This window comes from Homo sapiens, chromosome 7 (genome assembly GCF_000001405.40).
Source record: "Homo sapiens chromosome 7, GRCh38.p14 Primary Assembly".
Taxonomy (NCBI): Eukaryota; Metazoa; Chordata; class Mammalia; order Primates; family Hominidae; genus Homo; species Homo sapiens.
The window spans coordinates 99,274,900-99,292,585 of record NC_000007.14 but is presented as its reverse complement, the minus strand read 5'-3'; the positions used below and the strand labels follow the sequence as shown (position 1 = coordinate 99,292,585).

General features: G+C 51.2%; 1 protein-coding gene and 1 long non-coding RNA gene across 6 annotated transcripts in view; one reads left to right on the top strand and one right to left on the bottom strand.

Annotated features, from left to right (window-relative positions):
* The window catches only part of LOC105375421 (uncharacterized), a 47,593-nt gene extending 33,223 nt beyond the window's left edge, over window positions 1-14,370 (top strand). For 2 of the 4 annotated variants that reach the window (XR_007060450.1, XR_927797.4), the window contains 2 exons: window positions 1,610-1,709; window positions 4,527-4,776. This is a non-coding gene — a long non-coding RNA (uncharacterized LOC105375421). Of the gene's footprint in view, window positions 1-1,609; window positions 2,879-4,526; window positions 4,777-14,160 lie in introns of those variants that run through there. The other 2 variants (XR_927798.3, XR_007060449.1) reach the window with 2 other exon arrangements.
* Window positions 1-17,686, bottom strand: part of MYH16 (myosin heavy chain 16) — a 72,300-nt gene that overhangs the window by 18,543 nt on the left and 36,071 nt on the right. For both annotated transcript variants that reach the window (NR_002147.3, NM_001431356.1), the window contains 11 exons: window positions 14,874-15,047; window positions 12,849-13,076; window positions 11,606-11,710; window positions 8,935-9,021; window positions 8,568-8,713; window positions 7,651-7,741; window positions 7,148-7,204; window positions 4,449-4,694; window positions 3,182-3,299; window positions 1,136-1,263; window positions 78-274 (listed from right to left, as the gene is read on the bottom strand). Coding sequence is in view for 1 of the 2 variants with exons in the window: in NM_001431356.1 (NP_001418285.1) it covers window positions 78-274; window positions 1,136-1,263; window positions 3,182-3,299; window positions 4,449-4,694; window positions 7,148-7,204; window positions 7,651-7,741; window positions 8,568-8,713; window positions 8,935-9,021; window positions 11,606-11,710; window positions 12,849-13,076; window positions 14,874-15,047 (1,577 nt within the window). In the remaining variant the exon portion in view is untranslated. The remainder of the gene's footprint in view (window positions 1-77; window positions 275-1,135; window positions 1,264-3,181; window positions 3,300-4,448; window positions 4,695-7,147; window positions 7,205-7,650; window positions 7,742-8,567; window positions 8,714-8,934; window positions 9,022-11,605; window positions 11,711-12,848; window positions 13,077-14,873; window positions 15,048-17,686) is intronic.

The window sequence follows — 17,686 nt, the reverse complement described above, 5'->3', positions numbered from 1 at the left end:
TGACTGACATGGTGGTGAGGCCCCCAGCACCACCTGCCCAGCCCACCTGGCTCTCTCAACAGGAAGACCACACTCACTTGGTCTCCTCCAGCTCCTCTGTCCTCTGGATGGCATCGGTCTCGTACTTGGTCCTCCAGGTGGTGACCTCAGTGTTGAGTTTGGACACGAGGCGCTGCAGCTCTGACTTGCCTCCCTGCTCCTCCTCCAGCTGCTCCTTTACTAGGTCCAGGTCGTGCTTGGTGTTGGCCAGACTCACCACGGCGGTGCTGCGAGACTGTGGGGACCAGCCTGTCAGGCGCCCGTGGGGGCTTTCCACAGCCCGCAGGGCCACCACTTAGATACACGTAACACTGGAGCAGCAGTGATGGCAGGCGAAAGGGGGAAAAGAAACATGATCCCACAATCCAAACCATCGGGGTTTTAATTTTCATCCTATGACTTCTTTTCTTTCTATTATTGTCCACAAGGATATGTAATTTCATTTAGTTATACACATCACATACTACAGTTTTGTAGTTAGCTTTTTTACTTGCTACGATATCAAATACTTTTTGTATTCCTTTGACATCTTCATAATCTGTAACTTTCTTTAGCTGGGACTATAGGTATACAACACCATACCTGGAAACTTTTTTTTTTCCTGAGACCGAGTTTCACTCTTGTCACCCAGGCTGGAGTGCAATGGTGCGATCTCGGCTCCCTGCAACCTCTGCCTCCACCTGTGTCGGCCTCCCAAGTAGCTGGGATTATAGGCACTCACCACCATGCCCAGCTAATTTTTGTATTTTTAGTAGAGACCAGGTTTTGCCATGTTGGCCAGACTGGTCTCGAACTCCTGACCTCAGGTGATCTGCCCACCTTGGCCTGTCAAAGTGCTGGGATTACAGGTGTGAGCCACCATGCCCAGCAGCTTTTTTATTTTTTATTTTGGTAGAGATGGCGTTGGGGGTGGGGGGGGTGGGGGGGGGTCTTGCTGTGTTGTTCGGGCTGGTCTCGAACTCCTGGCCTTAAGCGAACCTCCCACCTAGGCCTCCCAAAGTTCTGGGATTACAGGCATGAGCCACCAACCCCAGCTGTAACCTATAACTTTAAGGCGGCAGCTCTGTCTCCACCGCAACCCCACGTCCAAACAAACCTTTGACTCTTCATCCAGCTGCCTCTTGTAATCATCCACTTGTGACGTCAGAGATGTCTTTATCCGTAGGATTTGATTGAGCCGGCTCTGGGACTCTTCATATTCCCTGCTCAGTTCACTATTTTCAGCTGGGTGAGAAGGAAATGGAAGAAATATTGGATGAAGAACTGGTTCCCCAGCCAGATCCAAAGTTCCCCAGGGCATTGCTCCTAAAGTACCCAATAAATATGGTGGCTTGGCCAATGGAGCTGGAATGGGGAGCACAGTAGATCACCACTCTAGCCTCCAAATTAAGTGAACCCAGGAGAAAGGCAAGCGCCCAAGGGTTGCCAAGATCCAGGTAACCTGCATGGACTTAGGGGCCTCACATAATGAAACCCCTATCTCCTACATGTCAGGAGATGCAGCAGAAGAGTTTGGAGAAACAGTGGGACACAGTATTTCCTTTGTAAAATGTATTTGTCACAATTCCAGAACCTACACTCCTGTCATTTGTGGAATGATTGCTGGAGCCAGAGGCCAGGAAGAAGTTCATGAGCCTGAGAGAAAAAGCAAGGATTTCCAGTTCTACCCTGTAAGTCACTGAGCTCACTGAGCTTCATTTTTCTTATCCATCAAATGGGGATATTGATTTTTTTTTTTTTTTTGAGACCAAGTTTCATTCTTGTCACCCAGGCTGGAGTACAGTGGCGTGCTCTCGTCTCACTGCTACCTCTGGCTTCCGGGTTCGAGTGATTCTCCTACCTCAGCCTCCTGAGTAACTGGGATTACAAGTGTGTACCACCATGCCCAGCTAATTTTTTTTGTATTTTTAGTAGAGACCGGGTTTTACCACGTTGGCCAGGCTGGTCTCAAACTCCTGACCTCAAGTGATCTGCCCACCTCGGCCTCCCAAAGTGCTGGGATTACAGGCATGAGCCACTGCACACGGCTGGATATTGATTTTTTTTTTTTTTTTTTTTTTGAGACAGGGTCCTGCTCTGTTGCCCAGGCTGGAGTGCAGTGGCACAATCATAACTCATTGCAGCCTTGAACTCCTGGGCTCAAGCAATCCTCCTGCCTCAGCCTCCCAAGTAGCTGGGACCACCAGTGTGCGCCACCACACCCAGCTATTTAAAAACATTGTTTTGTAGAGATGGGGGTCTTGCTATGTTGCCCAGGCTGGTCTCAAACTCCTGGCCTCAAGTAATCCTCCCGCCTTGGCCTCCCAAAGTGCTGGAATTACAAGTGTGAGCCACTGCACCCAGCCAGGATATTGTTAAAGAATTCCAGATGTGAGAAGTAAGGCCAAAGGCTGCCTGCAAGTTCTCTTGATGTCACACCGGAGCACTAACAGGCCCACCTGTAGACTATTCAGTTCTCTAAGGAAATGTACCTTTGTTTGACTTACTGTTTACCCCTGTGTGATTAGAGCACAGCTTCTGCAAAGTTAGAAATTAACTTATACATTGATAAATTGCCAATTATTTTTGTTATAGAGATGCAAAGATGCACCTGTATGACAAAGGTGTGTTTCTTCTGGCAGGGAAAAAAAAAATCCTAAACTAAACCCAGAGGTCACAGGATTATTGTCCTATAGGATATTAACTAGTTCTGCATCTAACTTAGCAAAGTTATTTTAGCGTTTCTTTTCCCAGCTGACTGTAAATCTCTGCCTTTCAAATGCTCTTTGAAGGCAGCTTTACCATTTTTCTGGCTCCCTCATTAAGGAGTTAAATAAATCGTTGACACATGTTCGCTTTATATTAGTATGTGGGTCATGTTTAAAAATGTTTGAAAATTGTATTTCGTCAGCATGAATGCCTCTCCCACTGATCTCACTGGGAAGGTGAGAGAATGGATACGAAAATGCTTTGAATTGTGTTCCCTGTTTTGCATTGTAAAGATGTTACTTGGAACATTCAGCAGGTGGAATAAAATCTCCTCCTCTCATCACAAGGGGTTTGGACGGGAATCTTCCAAGGCCAAGAAAGCTCTGTTTCCTTGAGAATCCCAGTTCCTTTCCATGCACTGCTCCTTAGCAAGCTCAGGGCGGAGAGGGCTCACCTTGGAGGCGGGTCCTGATGGCATTGATTTCTGCTTGGTTTCGCTCTAGCTCTGCCACCTTGGCGTTGGCTTCTGATAAGCTGTCTTCCAGCTTTCTGACGTGGGCCTCGGCGTTCATCTGCTCAGGAAGGATGAACTCAGTGGGGAAGTTGCGGGTGGGGGAGGCCAAGCCCTCCCTACCTCCCCTTTGATTTTTGCCCTGTTCTTCCTGTGTGCCTCCCAGGCTACCTGCCTGGAGGTATGCCCCTGTCTCAGAAACCCCAAATGGCTCACCATTTTTTTTTTTTTTTTGAGACAGGGTATCACTCCATCACCCCGGCTGGAGTGCATAGGTGCAATCAGAGCTCACTGTAGCCTCGACATCCTGGGCTCAAGCCATCCTCTCACCACAGCCTCCTGAGTAGCTGGGACCACAGGTGCATGCCACCATCCCTGGCTAATTAGTTTTATTTTTTTGTAGAGACAGGGTTTCACTGTGTTGCCCAGGCTGGTCTTGAACTGGGCTCAAGTGATCTGCCTGCCTTGGCCTCTCAAAGTGCTGGGATTACAGGCGTTAGCCACTGTGCCTGGCTTATTGAGCACTCTTATGTGCCAGAGACTATTGCAGCCCTCACAGTAGCGCTCTAAGGTGGGGATTATGACAATCATCTTCATGTTACAGATGAAGAAATCGAAGCACAGGTTATTTTATTTTTTATTTTATTTTATTTTATTTTTGAGACAGAGTCTTGCTCTGTCGCCCAGGCTGGAGTGCAGTGGCGCAATCTCGGCTCAATGCAACCTCTGCCTCCCAGGTTCAAGCAATTTTTGTATTTTTAGTAGAGACAGGGTTTCACCATGTTGGCCAGGCTGGTCTTGAACTTGTGACCTCAGGTGATCTGCCTGCCTCAGCCTCCCAAAGTGCTGGGATTACAGGCGTAAGCCACTGTGCCCAGCAGGTTATTTTATTTTATTTTATTTTATTTTAGAGACAGGGTCTTACTCTGTTGCCCAGGCTGGAGTGCAGTGGTGCAGTCATACTCACTGCAGTCTCAACCCCCTGGGCTCAAGCGATCCTCCTGCCTCAGCCTCCTGAGTAGCTAGGACTACAGGCACATGCTACCATCCCTGGCTAATTTCATTTTTTGAGGAGACGAGGTCTGGCTATGTTGTCCAGGCTGGTCCCCAACTCCTGGCCTCTCAAAAGCAATCCTCCTGCCTCAGCCTCCCAAAGTGCTGGGATTACAGGAGTGAGCCACTGCGTCCGGCCCACAGTTAGGTTATTCACCTTGGACTTCTGTATCGTCTCCATGCTGGCATTGAGGTCATCAATCTCAGCCTTCATGACCTGTTTATCTTTCTCTAGCTTGGACTTGACCCTCTGCAGGCTCTCCACATGCTCCGTCAGCTCGGCCATGGAGTCCACGTGCTTCTTGCGCAGTGTGGAGGCCGTCGCCTCGCTCTGCAGGGCGGCCTCTTCCAGCTCCCGCCGCAGCTTCAGCAGCTCAGCCTCCCGCTTGCGGTTCTGCTCGATCTGGGGTAGAGGAGGAGCAGCTTAGCAGAACTGGCCAGTGCCAGCCTTTTCCGGGTGGACACCGCCCAGCTGCTCGGTGGTCCCCTGATATTCCTGTACCTCGCTAAAAGAAGTCCTGCTTGAAATGCCAATGTTTAGCCTTTGGGGGGTGGGGGTTGCCCACAGGATTTGTTTAGAGGTGTTGTGTGTTAAATTGTGCCCTCCAAAAAGATATACTCAAGTCCTAACCCTGGGTACCTATGAATGGGACCTGATTTGGAAATAGTGTCTTTGTAGATGGAGCCAGTTAAGATGTCATACTGGTTTAGGGTGGGCCCTAAGCTAATGACTGATGCCTTTTTTTTTTTTTTTTTTTTTTGAGAAGAAGTTTCACTCTTGTTGCCCAGGCTGCAGTGCAATGGCACATCTCGGCTCACTGCAACCTCCGCCTCCTGGGTTCAGGTGATTCTCCTGCCTCAGCCTCCCAAGTAGCTGGGATTACAGGTGCCCACCACCATGCCCAGCTAATTTTTTGTGTTTTTAGTAGAGATGGGGTTTCACCATGTTTACCAGGCTGATCTCGAACTCCTAACCTCAGGTGATCCACCCACCTCAGCCTCCCAAAGTGCTGGGAGTACAGGCGTGAGCCACCGTGCCCGGCCGGACTCTCACATTTCTACTCACTATACTACTGCCCTTATCACTCCAGGTCCAGGTACCGACAACTAGGGTCAGCCCCACAGTCCACTGAGATTGTCCAAACTGGCCATTCAGGAGCCTGTTCACCCTGCCTCACCTGTTCCTTCCCATGGGAGCCAGAGTAAAGGCCTTTGCCTACATTCTTCCCCCCAGCTGTCTGCCTCCTAACCAGCCCCAGTGCCTCTCTGGCCCTGCGTGGCCTGCTGTGCCCTTTCCTCTTGGGAACTGTGAGTAGCAAACTCTTTCTGTTTGTCTTTGAGAGACAGGGTCTTGCTCTGTCACCCAGGCTGGAGTGCAGTGGTGCCATCATGGCTCACCACAGCCTCAACCTCCCTGGGCTCAAGTGATCCTCCTTCTTTAGCCTCTTGAGTAGCTTGAACTACAGGAACATGCCACCATGCCCAGCTAATTTTTTTTTTGAGAGATGGGCTTTTGCTGTGTTGCCCAGGCTGGTCAGAAATCCCTGGGCTCAAGTGATCCTTCTGCTTTTGCCTCCCCAGGTGTTGGGATTACAGGCGTGAGCCACTGTTCCAGGCCTCATTTTTAAATTATTAGTTGGTTTCTCCTCAAGTCCATCTCAGGAACCTAGCAAGAACGAACTGGTCTTGATCCCACTGCTCACAGTCCAGCAATTTTTTCCCCTAAATGCAAGCAGAGCTGGGGGTTTCTGGGCCCCCTGGGATGGGTGCCTGAGCAGATGTGGCTCCACCCGCTTCCTCCAACCTGTCACTGAGATCTTCAAGATCCCGGGACAGGTCACTGCGTTGTTTCTCCACCTGGGATGAAAGTTTTTATTTTAAGATAGAGCCTTCCTCTGTGGCCCAGGCTGGAGTGCAGCAGCACCATCTCGACTCACTGCAACCTTCACCTGCCTGGCTCAAACAATCCTCTAACCTTAGCCTCCCAAGTATCTGCAACTACAGGCACATGCCATCATACCCAGCAAATTTTTAAATTTTTTGTAGAGATGGGTTTCACCATGTTGCCCAAGCTGGTCTCCCGGTCTCAAGTGATCCTCCTGCCTTGGTCTCCCAAGGTATTTGGATTACAAGCATGAGCCACTCTTCCCGGCCATGGGATGAGATTTAATGATACCGATGATAATCACCCAGAGCTCCTTTTTCTCCAGTAAAGAGCATGATGACTGCTTCACCTTTGAGAAGCCAGGATTCTATGCCTGGGGGGCCTTGTGCCCTGCCTGTCATCCCACAGGCTTAGTAAAGGACACTGTCTTGCCCACACTGGGCGGGCATTAGTGCCCATCCTACCTACCACCTGTCCAATTTGGCTGAATTTGGGGTTAGGTACGCTGTGATTTGTCTCCCACCAGCTTTCTGGGCTCACGTCCTGTAGGATCCCCACGCTCAAGCCTCCCTCCATGCTCTGCTCTTGCTAACACGTGCTTTCTCTGTTTACACCTTCATCCCAATGAAGGTAGGTGCTATTTTATTCCCTTTGCCCAGACCTTTCTCCTTGCTTCTGCCTGTTGAATTCTATCTTTGAGGTCAAGTGTTTCTTCCCCATCTGTCTCAGGTAGAACCAGCCTCTTCTCCTCTGGACTCAAGCCACACAGAGCATCTGCCTTTCACGTCATGATTAATGTGGATGTGCAGTTCAGTCCCTGGCACACAGTAGGTGCTCCAGAAGCAACTAGACTTTTTAGCTGGACACCTGCCTTCTCTACTGGTTTCCTTAGCGGAGGTTTCTATTCATGGTTGGATGTGTGACTGCCGTTAGGTCTTTTGACTCAAGAAGGGGAAACGTATTTCATTTACCTTGGCTCTCATGGCCCTCTCAGCTTCTAGTTCTTCTTCCAGCTCTTCAATTCGGTCCTAGCAGACAGAGGAGGGAGGGGATTCATCTCTGCCAGGCAAAGTTAGTAAGTCAGCCCCTTAGCCTTTTAGGACGGAAAATAGGGATGTGAGAATATGACAGCCACTGTCAAAAGCAGAGAGAGGCAGATCCCAGAGAGCAAGTGCAAAGGTGCCGGGGCAGGCAGGAGGGGGCCTGGCATGTGTGACACCCAGCCAGGAGCCAGCATGGCTGGATAGAGTGGAGGGAAACACTCGGTGATGAGGTCAGGCGGGGAGCAGTTGGAGGGCCTCATAACCATTGTACGGATTTCACCCCTAGTGAGGGGAACATGGGTCCATCTCCAAGGACTCTATGGCAGTCTTGCTCCTCAGGAAACCTCAGCCACCAAGTAGCTGACATGAACAAAACGTTCAGAGAAGTGCATTTCTGACAGAGAGCTCATGCTTCTCGGTCCTGGACATACCTGGTGCTCCTTCAGTTTCCGCTGCAGCGTGGAATTCAGAGACTGCTCATCCTCATATTTCGAGTTGACAGAGTTTATTTCCAAATCCCTCCTGCAAGGGAAGGGTTGGTCTCCTGAGGAAAGGCTCTGAGGGTAGACCAGCAAGCTGGCGAGGGAATGTCGCCTGGGCTGCCAGAGGAGGCCTTGAACCTGCCGAAAAGCACGTACCTCCCAGCCCCTTCTGGCCTTCTGTAGTGACAGCCCAGAAGGTCTCACCCTACAGAGCAGTTAGACCCCTGAATGAGCTCCTCAGGTGTTTCATCATCCATTCATTCATTCACACATTTACTAATGTGACACTTTTTTTTGAGACAGGGTGTTGCTCTGTCGCCCAGAATGCAGTGCAGTGGCATGATCATGGCTCACTGCAGCCTTGACCTCCTGGGCTTAAGTGATCCTCCCACCTCAGCCTCTCTAGTAGCTGGGGCCACAGGCTGGCTCCATCATGCCCAGTTAATTTTTGTATTTTTTGTAGACGGGGTCTTGCTATGTTGCCCAGGCTGGTCTTGAGCTCCTGGCCTCAAGCCATCCTCCTGCCTTCGCATCCCAAAGTGCTGGGATTACAGGTGTGAGCCACTGTACCCAACATGGTCATAGGCTTTTATGACGCCTCCCTGCCCTGCTGAGTCCTCAGTGTTCCCTGGGGTGGTGGCGCTTGTCTCCTCCCCAGTGCCCACCAGGTATTGTGTGACACTGGGCATTCCCTGCAGACAGGGCAGCCCCTACCTCTCTGCATATCCTCCATGCCTGCCAGGTGCTTGGGACATGCAGGAATGTTTGTGAGGCTCTCCATACAGTGCCTGGCTCCTGGCACCCTCCAGGCAGCTCCAGCTATTGCTACCATTGTGATGGACAAAACGAACGACGACAAGACATACTTTTTCACCACCTCCTCGAGATCCAGCTTGGAACGCTCCATCTCATTGAGGTTGTCGATGGTCATCTTCAGGTCACTCTCAGCTTTCCGACGAGCCTTTTCCACCTCCGCCCGGATTTTCTTTTCCTGCTCCCAGTTATCCTCCAGCTACAGAGACAAGAACAGCAAGAGAAGGTAGACGAGGAGAGTCTGAGGTCAGAAGGCAAGAAGGAACCAGACTGGGTCCGATCCTTTAGCTGTGGCATCAGAAGGGCCCTCACGCCCCGGGGGATGTGTTGGTCCAGTTCTCAAAACTAATCTTCGGACCCCGTGCCCCCAGAGGGATCTGGCCTTGGAGTTGTAGAGGTGGCCACAGCAATGGGTATTACCTCATGGATCTGCGTGCTCAGCTTGCTGTTATTTTTGGTCAGGTGGTTCACCTTGTCCTCCTCAGCCTGTAGGTCGTCCAGGGTTTTCTGGAAGGACAGATACACACGTGAGTGCCACGAGGCCCAGTGGGAGCAGCTGAACAGTCCTGATCCTCAGTCGTCGCTTCTGAGCTATGCAGCTCCCAGGCTTTGGGGAGTTCAGTTGACTTCAGTGAGTAGGTACTGACCACCTGCTCCTGGGCGCTGGGTAAGGCCAGAGCAGATGGACCAGAGCCACCCATCAGGGAGGTCAATTGCTTGAGCCAGGGAGGTTGAGGCTGCAGTGAGCTATGATCGTACCACTGCACCCGAGCCTGGGTGACAGAGTCAGACCCTGTCTCTACAAAAATTAGCCAGGTGTGGTGGCACACGTCTGTAGTGCCAGCCACTCAGGAGACTGAGGCAGGACGATCACGAGCCCAGGAGGTTGGGGCTGCAGTGAGCTATGATGGCACCACTGCATTTCAGCCTGAGCAACAGTGAGACCCTATCTCTGGTTCCCCAGGGGGCATATGGGAAATAGGTGGGGTGCTTCTGGTTGTCACAGTGATTGGAGGTTCCTCTGAGATTTAGTGGATGACTCCAGCAATGCCGGACATCCCATTTTGCTCTGGACAATCTGGTACCATGAAGAACTCTGTAGTCCACATTCCTGATGTCCCACCCGGGCACTTATGTGAGTAAAACAACCATTTCTACTCTTCTAAACCTAGAGCCCAGCACCCTTTTACATGTAACTCAATGTTCTTTTTCATTGAATATGCACTACATTTTTTTTTTTTTGAGATAGGATCTTCCTCTGTCACTCAGACTGGAGTACAGTGGTACGATCATAGCTAACTGCAGCCTCCACCTCTTGGGCTCAAGCAACCCTCTCGCCTCAGCCTCCCAGCTAATTTTTTTTCTAGTTTTTAGAAAACTGCACTCCAGCTCAGGTGAGAGTGCGAAGCTCCATCTCAAAAACAAACAAAAATTAGTGGGGTGCAGTGGTACATGCCTATAATCCCAGTTACTCAGGAGGCTGAGGTGGGAGGATCACCTGAGCCTGGGAAGTCAAAGCTGCAGTGAGCCATGATCATACCACTGCACTCCAGCCTTGGTGACAGAGCTAGACCCTGTCTCAAAAAAATAAAAATAAAAAAAAATAAAATGTTATGACCAGAGGCATGCAAGAGTCTAACCCTATATTTTCCCTAGGAGCAGTGGTTCATATTTGCTAATTCAATATTGAATTATTATTGGTTAATTCAGTGTTTATGGCAACTTTACAGAACATAACCACTGTGAGGCCGGGTGTGGTGGCTCACGCCTGTAATCCCAGCACTTTGGGAGGCTCAGGTGGGAGGATCACTTGAGGTCAGGAGTTCGAGGCCTGCCTGGCCAACATGGTGAAACCCTGTCTCTACTAAAAATACAAAAAAAATTAGCTGGGTGTGGTGGCAGGCACCTGTAATCCCAGCTACTTGGGAGGCTGAGGCAGGAGAATCACTTGAACCCGGGAGGCGGAGGTTGCAGTGAGCTGAGATCACGCCACTGCACTCCAGTCTGGGCGACAGAGTGAGACTCCATCTCAAAACAACAAAAATATAACCAGTGTGAATAACACACATCCACTGTGTTTGTTATGAAAGGAGGCTCTGGGTCTGATATGCTTGAAAATCACAGGGCAAGGGCGGTAGTTCCCGAGGCAGCAGGGAGAGGCACTCAGGGGACATGTGGATTCACGGTATCAGCAAACACAGGGACGAGGGGTCCACTGTCTGGCTCTTTGCCCCTGTTTCTCTGGAGGTCAGCACTGGTGGCCGGTCAGAGCCGGCTCTGCATTCTGGAACCTTAGCCGTGACAGTGGGCCTGGGAAAGTCGGTGGGTCTCCCCATGGCCTCAAGAACTCATGGCCTGTTGTTGCCACAGTGTCTTAGGCTTTGCTGGGGCTTTTGAGCTCACGGGACAGTTCCATACACCCCACTCCACCCCTACCACTCCAGTGAGCATACTTTCTCCAGTGTGCATGGGCCCAACCTAACTCATAATTGTTTTGTTGTTTGTTTGTTTTGAGACAGGGTCTCGCTGTCACCCAGGCTGGAGTGCAATGGCGCAATCTTGGCTCACTGCAACCTGCAACTCCTGGGCTCAAGTTATCCTCCTGCCTCAGCCTCCTGAATAGCTGGGACTACAGGCGCGTGCCACCAGACCTGGCTAATTTTTGTATTTTTTTTTTGTAGAGATGGGAGTTTTGCCATGTTGCCCGGGCTGGTCTCAAACTCCTAAACTGAAGGGATCCTCCTGCCTCAGCCTCCCAAAGTGCTGGGTTTAAAGATGTGAGCTGCCATGCCTAGATGATTCATAATTGTTCATAGCTCCCCCGCTTGCTCTCAAAACTGTCCTAGTTTGGAAGACAAATTATATTGTCACCCCACTTATAACAAACTTGGAAGGAAGGCAGCAAGGGGGGGCCACACCCATGTCACTCTTGAGGAAACTGAGATGTACGGAGATTCCTTAACTTCCCTAAGGCCCCAAGCTGAGGGGGCGGCAGGGCCAGGATTTGAACTCGGGGCTCCAGTCTCCAATGGAAAGCACATTGTGCCAAGCTCTAGCTGCTGGGCTGAGGGAAGATGCAAGGGAAACCTACCTGGTGCAGCTCCTCTAGGGCCCTCTTCTCCTTCTGGAGCTTGGTGATGGAGTCTTCACGGAGTGAGAGGTCCCCCGTCAGGGTACGGACCTTGTGATCCAGGGCCTAGAAACCAGGGCAGGGAGAGAGGTAGATCCTTAAAGCTGGAGGGAGTCCTCAGCTTGGGTGCACCCTTGAGTCTCCTGGGAGCTTAAGAAATGCCAGCACCCAGGGCATGTCCTAGACCAACCAAGTCAGAACCCTGGGGGTGAAGGGGAGCAGCAAGAACCTTGGCTTCTCAAAGTGTGGTCCCCGGATGTCGGCAGTGGCATCCCCTAGGAGCATGCTAGGAATACAGACCCTTGGGCTCCACCAGACTCGCCAGAGTCTGCACCTGACTGTATCCCCAGTGGTTTGTGTGTGCAGCAGAGCAGGAGAAGCGCAAGTTTAGGCAGAGCCCCTGCTTACCCTGCTCGAGAACCCAACCCACCTGCAATAGCAGGAAGGGGACCTTGGGACCAGGGGCCAGCCAGATGGCATCAGGAGCCAGGGCTTCCCCCAGGGAGCTGTTCAGAGGGGCAGCAACTGCTTGTTTGGGCAGAAATTCAACAGCTGAAGGTGGACACTTCACCATGATGGGAACAGCTCAGTCCCCTTAGCTGCCCTGTCCAGCAGAACTTTCTGCAGTGACGGACATGTTCTCTGCCTTTGCTGTCCCATGCAGTGACACTTAACGCACATGGCTGCTGAGCACCTGCAATGTGGCTTGTGCAACTGAGGAATTGCATTTTAAGTTGTAAATTAATAGATGTTACAATAGCCCCATGTGGGCTGGGTATGGTGGCCCATGCCTGTAATCCCAGCACTTTGGGAGGCCAAGACAGGCAGATCACCTGAGGTGAGGCGTTCAAGACCAGTCTGGCCAACATGGCGAAACCCCATCTCTACTAAAAATACAAAAATTAGCCGGGTGTGGTGGTGCCACACGTGTAGTCCCAGCTACCCGGGAGGCTGAGGTATGAGAATCACTTGAACCCGGGAGGGGGAGGTTGCAGTGAGCTGAGGTCGCACTACTGCCCTCCAGCCTACGTGACACAGCGAGAGCGAGACTCTGTCGCAAAACAAACAAACAAAAAAAAACCCCCAAAAAACTGCCCCATGTGGTCAGTGGTCAGGGCACTGGGTGTAGCCACCATAGGGGCTTTAGGTATGGCCCCTGAAGGTGGCCTGAGAAAAGCGTGGCAGGGCCCCGGCCTCTCCTCACCTGCTTCTCCTTCTCTGTCTTGGCCAGCGTGGTTTCCAGGCCCTCTAGGTCCCGCTTCAGGTCGCTCAGCTCCCCTTCCAACTTGCGCTTGGCGGCACTCAGTGAGGCCGCCATGCCCTCTTCCTCCTCCAGCCGCTCCCGCATGTCTGAGATCTGGCTCTCTAGATCCATCTTGGTCTTCATCATCCATGTCAGGCGCTCCTCTGCATCCATCAGGTTCTCTTGCTCCTGTTGGGAGAAAGAGCCCCGGTCGAGGACAGGGTCCAGGCAAAGACCACACCAAGACGCTGGACAAGCCTTGAGCTGAACAAATGTGTCCTGGGGGTTGGACAAGGGGCTGGGCTATCTCGAGCTCCTTTTTTTTTTTTTTTTTTTTTTTGAGTCAGGGTTTTGCTTTGTTGCCCAGGCTGGAGTGCAGTAGTGTGATCACAGCTCACTGCAGTCTAGACCTCCTGGGCTCAAGAAGTCCTCCCACCTCATCCTCCCAAGTAGCTGAGGCTACAGGTACACACTGCAATGCCCAGCTAAGTTTTTTATTTTTATTTTTGAGACAGAGTCTCACTCTGTCACCCAGGCTGGGGTGCAGTGGCACAATCATGGCTCACTGCAGCCTCGACCTTCTAGGCTTAAGCAATCCTCCCACTTCAGCCTCCTGAGTAGGTGGGACTACAGATGTGCCACCACACCCGGCTAATTTTTAAACTTTTTTGTAGAGATGGGGTTTCACTATGTGGCCCAGGCTGGTCTTGAACTCCTGGGCTCAAGCATTCCTCCTGCCTTGGCCTCCCAGAGTGTTGGGTTTATGGGCATGAGCCATTGCACCTGGCCCAGGAGGATTCTTCCATCACTTTGGTCTTGCCCAGCCTCAGCCTTCACAAACAAAATGGGGATATCAGTTCAAGCAACTTCTCAGGGGTATGAAGAGGATACAGAGAAATGATGTTGGAGGCCTTTGGGGACAGTGGAAGGAAAATGCAAGCACCACACATGCTCACGGCTACAGAGATGGCCGTGGCAGAGCAGGGAGGACTGGAGATGGAATTGGGCCCCTTCCAGGGCTGGGTTTTCTACCAATGGGCCTGGGACTTTGATCAAATCTCTAAATGTCTGCCAAACTGAGTTTTCTACCCTGTACGATGCACGTGAAAATCGAGTGTCTTACAGGGCGGCTGTGAGAGTAAAATCAGGGAAGGAATAGGAAAAGCTTTGCAAACCAGAAGGACCCCAGCAGTGAATTCACTGCAGGACATTTAGTCAGGCGCCCTACAGAAATGACATCGTTTATTCTTTCTTGCTGTGTTTCCCTGGACAGGTGAGGAAAACAAGGCTTGGAGTGGGTAAGTTGCCAAGTTTGTATGGCAGAGCCCAGCCCTGACTCCAGGGGATGCTGTTCTCACCCCATCTCGTGGCCACCATCCCTGGACTTTCCCTGCAGGTGGGTCCTGTAGCTGTGTGTGCCCAGCCTGCTGCTGTGTGCAAATAAGAATTTGATGGAGGCTGGGCACAGGGGCTTACACCTGTAATCCCAGCACTTTGGGAGGCCGAAATAGGAGGATCACTTGGGGCTGGGAGTTTGAGACAAGCCTGGGCAACATAGTAAGACCCTGTCTCTACAAAAAATTAGCCAGGCATGGTGGTGTAGTCCCAGCTACTCGGGAGGCTGAGGTGGGAGGATCACCTGTGTCCAGGAGATGGAGGCTGCTGTGAGCTGTGATCGAGCCACTTCACTCCAGCCTGGGCAACACAGCAAGACCATGTCGCTGTCTGTCTGTCTGTCTGTCTGTCTGTCTGTCTGTCTGTCTCTCTCTCTCTCTCTCTCTCACACACACACACACACACACACACACACACACACACACGAATTGGATGGAGACTTTTTGGAAGTTGGGTCGAGGGTGACTTTGTATGCTGGAGAATTTCCCGTGGTCTGGAGGGACATGGGTTTTTGGAAGAGCTCGCCCTTCCTCCCTCCCAGGGTCCAGGCTGTATGGGTTTCCCACCCTTCTCCCTGGGGACCCCACGTACAGCCTGCAGCTGGATGGTGAGGTCATTCTTCTCCTGGCTGAGCGTGGCTGTCTTCTCCTCCAGTTCCTTGACCTTGTTTACCAACTCCTGGGTTTGGGCCATGGCTTTCCTGAGCTCCTCCTCCTTGGCCTTCATCTCCTCTTCTTGCCGAGCCACATTCAGGAGTGGCTTGACCTGGGCAATGAGCAACACCAAAGAGTGTTAGGAGAATGGGGTTTGCTGGGGGGTAGACGGAGGGCTGTGGAGTCTCTGCCTCAGGCGTGACCTCACAGCACCACTGTGGTGGGAAGCAGCTCTTGCTGTAGCTCTGCGGGTGGGGTCCCTCTCCACAGATGCCACCAGGCTGAGCTCCTTGTGTAAAGCATCCCTGGCCTCAACAGAGAAGGCCCATCCTCCCCTAGGACAATTCTTAGGATGCTCTTTAATCCTGAGGGACATGGAGTTAGGTGTCCTCGGCATCTGGGTGACCCAAGGCTTACATCTGTTCTGCATGTTGTGTAGACACCAGGAGCCCCAGTGAAATGCACAGCCTTGGGGTCCCCTCCCTCCTTCCTTCCCTACTGAGTCCTCCCACCTCTGGCTCTCTGTTTCTGTCTCTGTCTGCCTCATTTTGCTGTCTCTCTCACTCGCCCACTGTTTCTCTCTCTCTCTCTGTGTCTCTCTCTCTCTCTGTGTCTCTCTCATGCCATTCCTATCTCTGCCTCTCTTCTCAGTCTCTGTTGCTCTGCTCTCTCTTTTTCTCTCTCCGTGTTTCTGTTTCTGTCTTTCTCTCTGTCTCTTTCTCTGTCTCATCTCTGTCTCTCTTATCTCTGTCTCTCTCTCTGCCTGTCTCTCTGTTGTGCTGTCTCTCTCTCTCTCATTTTCTGTGTCTTTCTCTTTGTTTTTCTCTATGTGTGTGTGTCTCTCTCCATCTCTTACTCTCCCTCTCTCTCTCTCACTCCTTTCATCTTCTGTCTAACATGAAGTCACACCTCTCGACTTGGCCTTGCAGGCCTTCCACAATGTAGCCCCTGCCCTCCTCCTGCACTGTGTCAGCTGATACTTCCCACCATGGCCAGTGCCCCTGCACCTGTGTCTATAGGGCTGGGCCTTCTTTGCCATTCAGCCGGGAGCATTTGCTCGTGCTCTGCACCCGCAGCACCCATCGGGACCTCTCTGTGCACTTGGCCCTTCTCACCTGCACTGGAGCGCCAGGCTCCGTCCGGTCCTACCACCTGTATTCTGCCCTGCATCTGCAAGCCCCTCAAAGACCTCCCTCCCATCCCTTTGGGGTTCCTAAAGCACCTAGCAGAGCTGGTGGGGCAGGTCCCCTGGGAACCACAGAAACATTATACCATAGATACAATAGATACATAGTCAATAGATACATTTCCCAGGAGGGAAAATGCCCTAGACATGGATTTGGGAGGAGGGACAGCCTGCGCCTCTTTTGAAAGATAACAGATAAACCTCGTTCATTGCCAGCCTGGCTGTTGAGAATCTGAGATGTCACAGTGGCAAAGCTGGCATGAAAAGGTTGCAGTAACCACCATACTTTGCCGCTGTGTAGCACTTTTTATTCAATGGAAACCTACTACAAGTGTTTTTTCATTGACCCAGCCTATCTGGCTTTGTTAAATAATATTAGAGCTTAGTTAGAATACTAAGAGGAGAGGATTTAGAACAACAACAACAAAAACTAAAAAGGCCGGGCGCAGTGGCTCACGCCTGTAATCCCAGCACTTTGGGAGGCCAAGGCGGGCAGATCACCTGAGGTCAGGAGTTCAAGACCAGCCTGGCCAACATGGTGAAATCCCGTCTCTACTAAAAATACAAAAAATTAGGCGTGGTGGCAGGCGCCTTAATCCCAGCTACTCGGGAGGTTGAGGCAGGAGAATCGCTTGAATCCGGGAGGCGGAGGTTGCAGTGAGCCAGATCATGCCCCTGCGCTCCAGCCTGAGCAACAGAGCAAGATTTTGTCTCAACAACAAGAAAAACTAATTAGAACAGGACCTTGTTCTGTCAGGTCTAATTAGTAACAAGCAGGGGAGTTTACAGCTGTTGCTACCATGTCTTGCTCAGAAGGAACCTTAAAGGCCATTGGCCTGGGTCTTCCCAGAGTCTAATTGTATACCAAGGGATCTGGTGAGATGCATTCAAGCATAGACACCCTTTGATTAGAGTTGTGACATAGTTACTTTAATAGGCAATTTAAAAAATGAAAACTCAAATCCACAATTTTGTGGGTAACATTTGCTTAGGATGAGATTAAAGCAGGTAAGACTACAAAGTTTCCTTTTAAAGTAAAAGTTGTGGCTGGGCACAGTGGCTCACGCCTGTAATTCCTGGAGGCTGGGGAGGATCACTTGAGATCAGGAGTTTGAGACTGGCTGGGGTAATGTAGCAAGACGCTGTCTCTACAAAAAATTTAAAAATGAGCTGGGCGGGCGCTGTGTACCTGTAATCTCAGCCATTTGGGAGGCTGAGGTGGGAGGATTGCTTGAGGCCAGGAGTTTGAGACCAGCCTGGGCAACATAGCAAGACCCTGTCTCTTCAAAAACAAAAATTAAAAATTAGCTGGGCATGGTGGCACACACCTATAGTCTGAGCTATTCGGGAGGCTGAGGTGGAAGGATCGCTTGAGCCCGGAGTTAGAGGCTGCAGTGAGCTATGATTGCATCACTGCACTCTAGCCTGGGCAACAGAGTGAGACCCTGTGTCAAAAAAAAATTTTTTTTTTCCAAAATAAAAAAGCGAGGCCAGGTGCAATGACTCACATCTATAATCCCAGCAGCACTTTGGGAGGCCAAGGCGGGTGGATCACCTGAGGTCAG